This window comes from Homo sapiens, chromosome 22, assembly GCF_000001405.40.
Source record: "Homo sapiens chromosome 22, GRCh38.p14 Primary Assembly".
Lineage (NCBI taxonomy): Eukaryota > Metazoa > Chordata > Mammalia > Primates > Hominidae > Homo > Homo sapiens.
This window is the reverse complement of record NC_000022.11, coordinates 50,480,450-50,492,047: the sequence shown is the minus strand read 5'-3', so window position 1 is coordinate 50,492,047 and position 11,598 is coordinate 50,480,450. Positions and strand designations below refer to the sequence as shown.

The 11,598-nt window shown below is 62.1% G+C and overlaps 2 protein-coding genes across 6 annotated transcripts, besides 2 other annotated features; both read right to left on the bottom strand.

Annotated features, from left to right (window-relative positions):
- Positions 1-1,399: 1,399 nt before the first annotated feature.
- MIOX (myo-inositol oxygenase) lies at positions 1,400-5,189 on the bottom strand. Of its 4 annotated transcripts, NM_017584.6 has the most exons (10): positions 5,136-5,189; positions 4,583-4,663; positions 4,306-4,386; positions 4,000-4,162; positions 3,706-3,773; positions 2,899-3,008; positions 2,753-2,820; positions 2,602-2,651; positions 2,404-2,516; positions 1,400-2,300 (listed from the first exon to the last, which is right to left on the bottom strand). In NM_017584.6, the coding sequence occupies exons 1-10, from the start codon at positions 5,148-5,150 to the stop codon at positions 2,192-2,194; spliced, it is 858 nt and encodes a 285-aa protein (NP_060054.4). In that variant the 5' UTR covers positions 5,151-5,189; the 3' UTR covers positions 1,400-2,191. The 4 variants fall into 4 exon arrangements, with proteins under 4 accessions (NP_060054.4, XP_005261982.1, XP_047297399.1 ...); XM_005261925.5 differs by lacking the exon at positions 5,136-5,189 and having other exon boundaries at positions 4,306-4,382; positions 4,583-4,666; XM_047441443.1 differs by lacking the exon at positions 1,400-2,300 and having other exon boundaries at positions 2,424-2,516; positions 3,706-3,805.
- A 421-nt stretch (positions 5,190-5,610) lies between these two features.
- ADM2 (adrenomedullin 2) lies at positions 5,611-10,505 on the bottom strand. 2 transcript variants are annotated; one of them, NM_001253845.2, is made up of 3 exons: positions 10,285-10,505; positions 10,091-10,211; positions 5,611-9,481 (listed from the first exon to the last, which is right to left on the bottom strand). In NM_001253845.2, the coding sequence occupies exons 2-3, from the start codon at positions 10,198-10,200 to the stop codon at positions 9,145-9,147; spliced, it is 447 nt and encodes a 148-aa protein (NP_001240774.1). In that variant the 5' UTR covers positions 10,201-10,211; positions 10,285-10,505; the 3' UTR covers positions 5,611-9,144. The 2 variants fall into 2 exon arrangements, with proteins under 2 accessions (NP_001240774.1, NP_001356811.1); NM_001369882.1 differs by having other exon boundaries at positions 10,091-10,505.
- Positions 10,259-10,378: a silencer, noted in NCBI's record as "silent region_13982". NCBI's record gives its function as "represses an Ori minimal core promoter by ATAC-STARR-seq in GM12878 lymphoblastoid cells {active_cell/tissue: GM12878}" and the evidence as "EXISTENCE:reporter gene assay evidence [ECO:0000049][PMID:35858748]".
- Positions 10,429-10,718: a silencer, noted in NCBI's record as "silent region_13981". NCBI's record gives its function as "represses an Ori minimal core promoter by ATAC-STARR-seq in GM12878 lymphoblastoid cells {active_cell/tissue: GM12878}" and the evidence as "EXISTENCE:reporter gene assay evidence [ECO:0000049][PMID:35858748]".

The window sequence follows — 11,598 nt, the reverse complement described above, 5'->3', positions numbered from 1 at the left end:
TCACCATGTTGGCCAGGATGGTCTCAATCTGCTGACCTCGTGATCCGCCCGCCTCGGCCTCCCAAAAGTGCTGGGATTACGGGCATGAATCACCGTGCCCAGTCTTTGTTGTTCTTTTTTTACCTTTTAATTATTTTGTTTCTTTTACATCTTTTTCCTTTTTATGTTTTCTATTTTATCTTTAGTCATCAAGAAGTAAACTTTTTTTTTTCCAAGATTGTTATGGCCATTTGGGTTCCCTTAAAATTCCATAGGAATTTTAGAATTATGTTTTTCTATTTTCCAAAAAATGCCTTTTTTTTTTGAGACGGAGTCTCGCTCTGTCACCCAGGCTGGAGTGCAGTGGCTCGATCTTGGCTCACTGCAACCTCCGCCTCCCAGGTTCAAGTGATTCTCCTGCCTCAGCCTCCGGAGTAGCTGGGATTACAGGCACCGACCACCAGGCCCAGCTAATTTTGTATGTTTAGTAGAGACTGGGTTTCACCATGTTGGCCAGGCTGATTTCGAACTCCTGACCTCAAGTGATCCTCCTGCCTCGGCCTCCCAAAGTGCTAGGATTACAGGTGTGAGCCACCGTGCCTGGCCAAAACCTTGTTTCTACTAAAAGTACAAAAAAAAAATTAGCCAGGTGTGGTGGCGTGGGTCTGTAATCCCAGCTACTAGGGAGGCTGAGGAAGGAGAATTGCTTGAACCCGGGAGAGGGAGGTTGCAGTGAGCTGAGATTGCCCCACTGTACTCCAGCCTGGGCGACAGAGTGAGACTGTCTCAAAAAAAAAAAAAAAAATTAAGGGAAGGACTGAAACATCGACCTGCCTTTCTATACGAACAGTGCCACTGTGTAGCCAAAGAGCACGTGGGAGGCAACTTCCACTTCCTGAAGTGTTCCCTGCGGCGGACGAGGACAGAAAGTGACCTGGGCTGTTCCATACCCAGGGGAGTGGGGGATCCGGATAAGCTTGAACGCCCACAGCTGCCCGCTGACAACACTCAGGACAGGCACCGCATGCCTCTTCCTCAGGAAACACCACTGCCTGAAAGCACTCGTGCCCACAACCAACCAAACAGGATCTGGGGAAGCCTCTAAATCCGTGCACCGATTGGCAGAAGTTCAGAGGAAAACGTTAACAGGTACAGAATCCCCACAAAGACGAATTTCCTGGGACAATCTACTTTCTTCAGAGATGAATTTCAGAGAAGATGGAGGGGAGGCCACTCTTTGGCACCAAGGGCTGCACGCCTGGGTGACAAAACCATGTAGAGAGGATGGACGGTGGCTGCAGAGCCTGTGGAGGGGCTGCTCTGTGCGGGGAGCCGCACCCGGGGCATGCGGAGGGTACTGGAGAGTCGGTTCAGGGGTGGTGGCCGCAGGTGTTTGCTTTATAGCATTTAAACTGTGCACTTGTTTTATTTTATTTTATTTATTTTTTTTGAGATGGAATTTCACTCTTGATACCCAGGTTGGAGTGCAGTGGCACAATCTTGACTCACGGCAACCCCTGTCTCCCGGGTTCAAGCGATTCTCCTGCCTTAGCCTCCTGAATAGCTGGGATTACAGGCGCCCACCACCACGCCCGGCTAATTTTTGTATTTTTAGTAGAGACGGGGTTTCACCATGTTGGCCAGGCTGGTCTTGAACCCCTGACCTCAGGTGATCCGCCCACCTCGCCCTCCCAAAGTGCTGGGATTATAGGTGTGAGCCGCTGTGCCCAGCCTGCATTTGTTTTTTGTTGTTTTCTATGAATGTATTATTTTAGCTATTGGGGTATTTTTTAAGGGGACGGAGCCCAGAGGACTTGGTGACTGTTTTGAGCATGTGGGGGTGAGCTGGGTGACTCGTCCCCCAGGCTCTGACACAGGAGCTGGGAGGATGGGCAGATGTTTACCACGGCCAGTGTGGTGGGACACACACACCTGAAAGCCTGGGACTTGGCCTCCACCCTGCTGGCACCATCCCTCGGCCTGGGCCACGCCCTGCTGCAGTAACACCCAGTGGGGCTTCAGAAGCACAACATCCTTCCAGGTCTTTATTGACGCCAGGCACAAGTTGCCGTGAGGGGTGGCGACCCTAAGGGGGTGAGTGGGGTCCCCCACCGAGGTGAACCCTGATGGCGGCTGTTTGCCCAGGGCCAGGCCTCTCCAGGCAGGCGGAGGGCCAGGCCTAGGTCCAGCAGCAGCTTGGGTGGCAGGAGGGTCACCAGCTCAGGATGCCAGGGCAGTACTTGTCAATGAGCCCCTGGTAGTAGGGCCGCAGCTTGTCCACGTCCGGCAGGTCCGGGCACTTGGTGTAGAGGTCGAACTTGCTGCAGCAGGGAGGGGCGGTGAGCCCCGTGAAGAACCCCCAGGCCCCCCACCCAACCCCCTCTTTCACTCCCACAACACCCCTCGGCGGGTAGCGGGGCGTACTTGAACTCCCGCACCCAGGGCAGCATGGCCAGGTCCTGCTGGCTGCACAGCTGCTGGTAGTCGCGGCCCGTGTGCCAGGGGTAGAAGGAGTGGAACCGGATCATGTAGAAAGCCTGCGGGCAAGGCCACCCAGCGGCTCACTTGGGGCTGCAGGACCGGGCCTGGTGGACGGGCTGCGTTGCCCCTCCCCCCACCTACCTCAGGGGGCAGTGAGAACTTGTTAAACTTCATCACCTGGTACATGTACTCTGTGGGGAGAGGGTGTCACCAGCAGGCACTGCCTCTGCCCCACCGCCCCCCACCGTCCCCCACCGCCCCCCACCGCCCCACTGCCCGCCTCTGGCCTCACCATCATGGCCCCAGGACATGAGGACCCTGTCGAGCCCACAGTGGGGCTGATACATCCCGAGCTCTGTGCTGCAGTGAGATACCAGGGTGAGGAGGGCTCAGCAGCCGCCCAGGGAAGGGGGCCCAGCCCTCAGCAGCAGGGAGCACCTGTATCGAGGATCCTGGAGGTCAGGGTTGTCCTGGAAGGTGGAGTCGCAGAAAACCACGGAGGCCTGCGGACGGCATCCGACGGGGAAGGTGTCGCCGACGACAGCCCACTGCAGAGGGACAGGAGGGACGGGAGGCCATGGGGGGAGTGGGGGAAGGTGTCGCCGATGACCACCCACTGCAGAAGGACAGGAGGGACGGGCGGCCATGGGGGGAGTGGGGGAAGGTGTCACCGATGACTGCCCACTGCAGAGGGACAGGAGGGACGGGCGGCCATGGGGGGAGTGGGGGAAGATGTTGCCGATGACTGCCCACTGCAGAGGGACAGGAGGGATGGGAGGGACGGGAGGGACAGGAGGGACGGGAGGGATGGGAGGGACAGGAGGGACAGGAGGGACAGGCAGCCATGGGGGGCCGTGGGGGAAGTGGGGGAAGGTGTCGCCGACGACCGCCCACTGCAGAGTGACAGGAGGGACAGGCGGCCATGGGGGGCCGTGGGGGGAGTGGTGCGGGGAGGCCGTGGGGGGTGCACTGGCCTGTCCCCCAGGTAGTATCCCAGGCCAAGCACCGAGGCCACCAGAGGGACAGGCAGCCGTGGGGGGGGCCGTGGGGGGTGCACTGGCCTGTCCCCCAGGTAGTATCCCAGGCCAAGCACCGAGGCCACCAGAGGGACAGGCAGCCGTCGGGGGGCCGTGGGGGGTGCACTGGCCTGTCCCCCAGGTAGTATCCCAGGCCAAGCACCAAGGCCACTCCACCCCCACCTTGCCTCAACATGCAGCCTCCTCACCCTCCACTTCCAACTCTTACCTGGGGCTCCCCGAACAGGGCCAGGACCTTCCCCAGGTCGTGCAGGAGCCCGACGAGGTGGAACCAGTCTGGGAGGGGGATGGACAGGGCAGGTTGGGGACTGCAGGGGCCAAGGCAGAGGATGAGCAGGTTTGCGGGGCTGAGAGCCAGGAAGGGTCCAGGGCCTGCTCCCCAACCCAGGCAGGGCTGCTGGAGGAGGCCTGGGCCCACTACTGTCCCCTCCCACCCTACAGGCTGCTGCATTCTGCCCCTTGGAGGCAGCACCTGCCCCCCTGCAGCACAGCCAGGGCTCACCCTTGTCTGGGTGGGCCTTCCGGATGCCCTCCGCTGTCTGGAAGGCATGGAAGGAGTTGGGGAAATCTACGTCCGGGTCCGACTCATCCACCAGCCCATCCAGCAGGTCCACGGCCTCCATGACTGTCATTTTCTTGTAGGAGAAGCCCCCAAACTGGGCATGCTGGCGGGGAAGGAGAAGGCAGTGTGGCCCAGGGTCAGCAGGCCCACCACACAGGCCTCTCCATCCCCTCGGCGCCTGGTGGGCTCATGGGGCTGAGGGCAAGGGTCCCTCCGCGTTTGCACGGGGCGGCAGGAAACGCCTACCTTGCTCCTGACGAAGTCCACTGTCTGGTGCGTGTGCATGAGCTTGTAGGTGGTGAAGACACGGTCCAGGAGGGGACCTGACTGCAGGCCGGAGGGTCAGTGGCGCCACCCCCACCCTGCACACGAGGCCCCATGCCTCCCCTCTCCCAGGCAGCCCCACAGGGTGTGATGGGGGTGGGAGTTCCCACAGGGCACCCCCTGGAACTGTGTGAAGGGCAAGTGCTGCTCCCCAGGGTGTGGATGGGGGAGAAGGGGGGCAGGACGGCAAGGTACTCACCGTGTAGTTCCGGAAGCTGGCCTTGTCTTTGGCCACCTCTGGGTCCACATCAGGTCGGTAGACCAGGGAAGGGTCTGGGCCCTGGGTAGGTGGAGGATTGAACCTATTTCACCATCATGTCAGCTCCACGAGGAAGCACAGACATTCCCAGGGTGGCTGCAGACTCCAAGCCTGCCTCTGCTCGAGGGCTGGTGGGTGACACGCGAGGACACAGCCTCTCCCACGCCATCATCCCAGCCCCTGCCCTGGCCTCAGCGAGTCCCAGGAGCTCTCACTCCCAGGTCCTCATCTGCAAAGCGAAAGTCAGCAGACGTCTGCTTCCGGGGTACAGGGGACACCACGCCTGAGCGGCACCCATGGCCACCCTTGAGGGGTGGAAGTGGCTTTGGGAGGAGACTGAGTCCACAGGGAGCCTGGGGGTCGGCAGCCGCTGGCTCTTGCCCAGCTGGACGGAGGAGGAGGGCTGGCCAGTGCCAGCTAGAAGAGGGCGGGAGTGGCTGGCCACCAGGAGAGCAGTCAGCAGAGCCTCTCTGCATGGGGTCTGGGTACTCACCACCGTCACCTTCATCCTGAGAGGGAGCGGCGCTCAGGTGGCAAAGCACAGGCTGGCGAGTGTGTCCTCAGCCAGGCTCCTATATACACCCCAGGTTACATAAGTGTCCGCAGTAATAAATGACCATCCACCCTCCTCCCGGCCTCAGGGAGTTAATGTGTCAGCACAGCAGCAGCCCCCAGCAGTCCCACATCCTCTGGCCCTGACTCAGCCTCACACTCCTGTCCCGAGCCGCTGACCTGCCTAGGGTTATCTGTGGGCCCAGCCTCCCACTTGGGCCCTGGCCTTAGACCCCTCTGTGGGGTCCCACAAGTAGGGGCAGACCCAAGACCCCACCCTCAAGCACACGCCCCCTCTGCACCACCCCTTCCCCGGCTGCCCCACTGGATCTCAGGAGGTGAAAACTTGTCCCCAGGCCCCCCGTGATTCTGGGTGGGGCAGGAGCTTGTTAAGAAAAGATGATTCTGAGGACTTGTTAAAATGGTGAGAAAAGCTTTATTCAAGAGAGTGGTGAGAGGAGCTCACCTCCGAGTTCAACAACCACAGCTGGAGATTGATGGCGTTGGAGGGGTCAGCGGATGGGAAGTTGTTAGGGCGGCCTTCGAGGGTAGGGGGATTCTCACTGGAGTGGCTCAATGAGGATCTTGCAGGAGGCCGGCAGGGTGATGAGATCAAGGGTGGGAGATGAGGAATGGGATCAGATATCGAGGGTGGGTAATTCTCCATAAACTGATTTAGAGGATTCTTGCTAACACCGGGGTCGGCGGGCCCAGCGAGGATGGGGATGGGGTCAGGCCTCGTCGAGGAAAGGACTCAGGGGCACCTGCCTAGAGTTCGGCCACAGAGTGTGTCAGGCTCTGGGAGAGGGGCCTCACGGAGAGTTGGAGCAGGCACGGAACCGCCAACACCCAGGCCGCCAACGCAACTTCCCATGCATGGGCCCTGCAGGCATGGAGGACACCGTGAGAACAAAGTGCCCGCGGCAGAGCTGGCGTCTTGGAGCGTGGCCAGGGAAGTCTGGGAACAGCAGTCGGCTGGGGCAGGAGAGAGGGCAGTGGGGTGCTGGGGCCATACCTAGGGCTGTGAAGATCAGAGTTCTGGGCTTCAGGGGTCAGGCAAGAGGGCTGTGGGCAGCTGACCTGACTCAACAAGATCCTGGCACAGCTGAGCTGAGAAGCAACTGTGAGGAGACCCCAGCGCCCCCCATTTAAACGGCACCTGCCCCACACTCTCCTTCCTTGTCTGACTTCCTGTGGCACTCAGCACTCCCTGCCACTCCACCACCCACTTATTCTACCTTCTACGTTTGTCTCCTTCTATCTCCCCCTAGAATGTCAGCCCCTGGGGGTCAAGGCTGTATCCTCACGTGTCCCAACACGGGTAGGTCACGTGCTCAGCATGCACTGGCCAGAGGGATGCAGACAGGTGCCTGGGAGGAGGCTACGGCCATCGCCCCGAAAGCAGGTGGTGCCTGGGTCAGGAGAAGGTGTCTGGATAGGTTCAGGAGGTGGGACCGGGTGGGATTCAGAGGAAGGTGTGAAGGAAGAGAGGAGGTTTTTTTTTTTTGAAACGGAGTCTTGCTCTGTCATCCAAGCTTGAGTGCAGCAGCGCCATCTGGGCTCACTGCAACCTCCACCTCCCGGGCTTAGACGATTCTCCTGCCTCAGCCTCCCGAGTAGATGGAATTACTGGCATGTGCCACCACGCCCAGCTAATTTTTGTATTATTACTATTTTTTTTTTTGAGGCAGAATTTTGCTCTTGTTGCCCAGGCTGGAGTGCAATGGCGCAATCTCAGCTCACTGCAACCTCCGCCTCCCAGGTTCAAGTGATCCTCCTGCCTCAGCCTCCTGAGTAGCTGGGATTACAGTCATGTGCCACCACGCCCGGATAATTTTCTGTTTTTAGTAGAGACGGGATTTCACCATGTTGGCCAGGCTGGTCTTGAACTCCTGAACTCAGGTGATGTGCCTGCCTTGGCCTCCCAATGTGCTAGGATTACAGGTGTGAGCCACGGGGCCTGGCCGAGCGGAGATTTTGGCCAGAGCAGCTGGAAGTGGGTGCAGGTGCTGCTGGGCCTCCGCGTGATGGTGTCAGGTGGGTCTGATTTCGCACCCGAGGCGACACGGAGGGTTACAGCAGGCGGCCTCCTGACTACAGGGCATGAGGAGGGTAAAGGCTTTCCTGGAGGAGGGAACACTTGGCCCTGACCACAGGCAGGCCCCAGACGGGGTGCCAAGCTGGACTTTGCCCAGGCAGGAGAGGAGACGTCTGGGAGGGTTTTGGCTGGGCTGAGTAGCGGACGCTGAGCTCCTGACCCCCGAGCCTTGCCCCAGGGCCCCCTCCTTCACTCCCCGTGCCCCTCCCTCTGTCCTCATGCCGTGTGCTCTGCTGACACCCTTCAGTGGTCACAGGGCACATGACTCTGAGGCCGAGGCCCCTCCACCCTGCAGCCTCTCAGCAGCCACGCCTCCTGTGCACCTGGGGCCTTGGCACTCCCAGCTCCTTCCCCTAGGGAAGGCCTGCTGTCCTCAGACCTCACCTGACCCAGTGCTTCTCCCAGGGAGCTGGCCTTGACTGCCTCGCTGTGCGGCCCATCACCCTGACCACCTTTGCTGCAATCCTAGTACATCTCTCAGTGCACGGAGGCCTCCACAGGGCAGGACCAGCCTGGACCGTTCCCACAGGGCCTCGTGGAGTACAGGTCAGTTACGTGGACTCGGCAATCCCTGAGCTCGGGGAGCAAGCACAGGGGCGGCGCCTGGGTGGGCGCTTCCAGGACCCTCCCCCTTGGAGGTAGGAACTGAGGGGCAAGCTCTGTGGGGGAATGTCCTGAGCTCTGCTGCGGCCTCTAGAGTTGGGGTGATCATGGCGACCCTCGTGGGATGGCCGAGAGGGTGACCCTAGCAAACATTTGTAAATTAAATGCTCAGTGTTCGCTAAATAGCAGAAGGAGCCCTTTCTGAACCCCGTGTTCTGCTGGACGGTTGAGAGGCTCCAGTGGCAGGCACATGTGAGTCCCCCGTCCCCCCAGGGAAGGACACACACCAAGTCTGTGCACGCCGGCAGTGGTTCTTGTTCTTGCTGTCACTTGGGCCTGGGCTGCCCTCCCTGGCTCTTGGTAAGTCACCCTCTGCCCCCGCACCTGGTCCCACTGGGTCCCCAAACTGGGTGGTGGTGGGGCGCCTGTGCTGCCTGTGGAGCCCCACCCTTGTCTGGCTGCCAACAAGGGTCTCACCCCCTTCAGGTGAGGTGGGTCTAGTCGGGCTGGGGGATCTTGCCCCACCCAGCCCTGCCCTGCCCTGGGGTAGAAAGGGGTGTCCCTGTCCCAGAATGGTTTGGGGTGGCTCCTGAACTGCTGAGTTCCCCTCCCTGGCCTCCTACAGGGGATCCAGGTGGAGTCTCCATGGCCACCTCGGTCTGGGCTCCAGGGTTGGCAGCTGGAGCCACAGAGGTCCCTTCATGACCTCTGGAGGGCCACCATCCTTCCCTTGCCCAACCCCGGGGGCTACAGCATCCCACGCTCCCCCTCCTGTCCCACAGGCAGGCACGTGGAAGGGCTGGTTGTGCATGAGAGCAGGAACAGCCCAGGCACAAGGCCGGGCTTCAGTCTGACTGGACCAGCAGCGGAGGGGCCACTTCTGGCCAGTTCAGCCTCTCTCCCCTGCTCGTCCAGACATGGCCCCGTGTGTTCAGGGCCCAGCTTCTGCTCCACATCTCTGGGCAGACACCTCCTCTCTGAAGCGCTTAGCATCTGGTGCTGCCGCCAGCTGTGTCTGGCAGCTGTCCCCCAGGGGGTCACAATTTCAGGGTGTTTAGGCTCCTTGACGTACCAGCACTGCGTGTAGACCAGCCTAGGTTTACGTGTGCAAAGCCGTGCAGGTATTGTTGCTGCAGGACCTGCTGTCTGCAGCTCCGAGGGACTGGGCTTCAGATGGGGCTCAGCTGCAGCTCTGGACGGGGGCACAGCACCCTGGCTGGGATGGGCAGGGGTGTGGCCCGGCCCCACCTCAGCCATAGCTGTGGGGGCTGCTGGGGTCCACAGGAGCTGAGTCCTGCCGGCCGGCCGGTCCCATGAGTTGCCACAGGCGGTGGCTGAGATTCTGCACCTGGCAGGTGCCCAGCACACAGCCCACTCGCAGGAGCTGGGCTTGGGTCCTGCGGGGGCCCGAGTGTCTTCGGGGGCCCGAGTGTTGGCGGCCACCATCCCGGAGAGGCTGACCCATAACAGGGGCCAGGCCGGCACCCCTCTGTGCCTGGAGGGCCCGGTGAAGCTTCCAGACCACAGGTCGGGGTGCGGGGTGCCTGGGCTGCAGGCTGCTGGAAGGGCTCCGGGCTGGGGGCTCCCTGCAGAGGCAGATGGAGAATGTCAACCAGATGGCTCAGCCTTTTGGAGAACTCACACCTGCCCACTTTTGCCTCTACACAGGCCTGGGTCACTGCCAGGGGAAGCCCACAGCCCCCATCCACACACAGCCTGGAGCACGGCCAGGGGAAGCCCGCGTCCCCTCTGGGCTTGGGCCTGGGACCATCTCAGTGGCCCGGGTCACGTGTCCCGGGAACCGGCACCTCCTTGGCCAAAGGGCACCCCGGCGGCCCAGCCTCTGCGGGTCACCACTCTCAGGGCTCAGGGTGACTCGGCTTCTGCCCTCCCTTTAGGGTGGTCACAGGCCGGCCAGGGATACCGCCAGCCTCCCCTCCCCCAGCAGACACCCCCAGAAGAGGGGCTGCTGTGCCCATGTGTGTGGGGAGGAGCAACTGCCCTGTGTAGGGAGGCAGAGAAAGAGGGGCCTCTGGCCCTGCTCAGGCGCTCCTGAGCCTGGGGTAGGGGCCTTTGTTTGGGAGGGGAGTCCTAGCAGCAGGTGGAGGCGTGGAGGGAGGGCGGCCCCGCGGCCCCCGGCACTCTGCTTCCCTGCGGGGGCCAGAGGGGTTGGCTGGCCCAAGACCTGGACTCACCTGGGTTTGACGGGTCGCGGGTCCCCGCCCAGGCTGCGGGACAGCGAGCCAGGGAGCTGCAGGCAGAGGAGGCTGATGCAACCCAGGGCGGCCGTCGGGATCCGGGCCATGGCGGGCGGGGCTGCAGGGGAGGGGGCGGTGAGCCGGGCACGTCGGGGGCAGCCTGAGCCGCGAGCCACCCCCTCCGCCGGCACCTCGGGGAGTCCTCCGCGGTCGGGGCGCCGGGCGTGGGCGTGGCAAGCTGGGCACGGGCGTCCGTCGGGGCGCAGGCCTCGGGCGCGAAGCGGGCAGCGGGTCTGGGGTCGGCCGCGGGTCCGGGGCGCAAGGCGGAGCGGGCTGGGCGGGTTGGGGGTCCTGCCTGGAGCGGAGTCGCGGCCCGGGATGGCACCTCCAGGGCTGAATACGTAGCCTTTCCAGCAAGGGGCGGAGCCGGATGCACGGACGGGGCGGGGCGCCCCTCCTCCGGGCCCAGCCACCCTCGGGGCGGGGAGGGGGCTGCGGCGAAGGGAGCGGTGGAGGGGCCTGTCCCCGCTGGGAGCGCTCGGCGACCGGCCCGGGACCGCGGGACCGCCAGCCTCACTCCAAGCGCCTTCTGGTGGGGACGCAGCCCCGAGCCTGCGGGGGCCGGACTTCCCCACGCTGCAGCGGGGTTCTGGGGGGCGAACCGTCGTCCGAGCTGATCCCACGGCTGGGGCGGACTCGGACCCGACGGGGCCCACCCCGTCAACCACCTCCCGAGTCCGGGCGGTCCCACCCTCCAGGGTCTGACCCGGTGGACCCCGGCCCCCCAGCCTGACCAGCAAGTCCGCGGGATTCCGCAGCGGGCTGGCCATTCCGCTCTCCTCTGACGCGGTGCCGCCGACCCCGGGGCTGCGCTCCTAAAAGGCTGTACCGACCCTCGGCCGCTCCAACCCCGGACCAAAGTATTGCACGGTTTTTGTAACAGATTTAAAGTGTCCGGGCGCGGTGGCTCACGCCTGTAATCCCAGCAGTTTGGGAAGCCGAGGCGGGCGGATCACGAGGTCAGGAGATCGAGACCATCCTGGCTAACAAGGTGAAAGGCCGTCTCTACTAAAAATACAAAAAATTAGCCGGGCGTGGTGGCGGGTGCCTGTAATCTCAGCTACTCGGGAGGCTGAGGCAGGAAAGGCTGAGGCTTGAATCCAGGCGGCGGAGGTTGCAGTGAGCCGACATCGCGGCATTGCACTCCAGCTTGGGCGACAGAGCGAGACTCCGTCTCAAAAAAAGAAAAAAAAAAAAGAAAAAGAAAAATTTAAAACGAGTGAAACGTGAGACTCCCCTCACCATTGCCACCCACTTGGGACCCCTACCCTGGTCTGGGGGGGAGCCCTCTCCTGACTTGCCCTGGGCACACCTAGGTGTGGCTATGTGAGGCACACACATCCATGTGTGCAGATTTGCAGTAGGACTGAGACCCCGTTCTTTCCTGAGAGCTTGTTTGGAGGTCCTGGCAGAGGAGCGCAGCTACTCGAAGCCCGGTCCTCCAT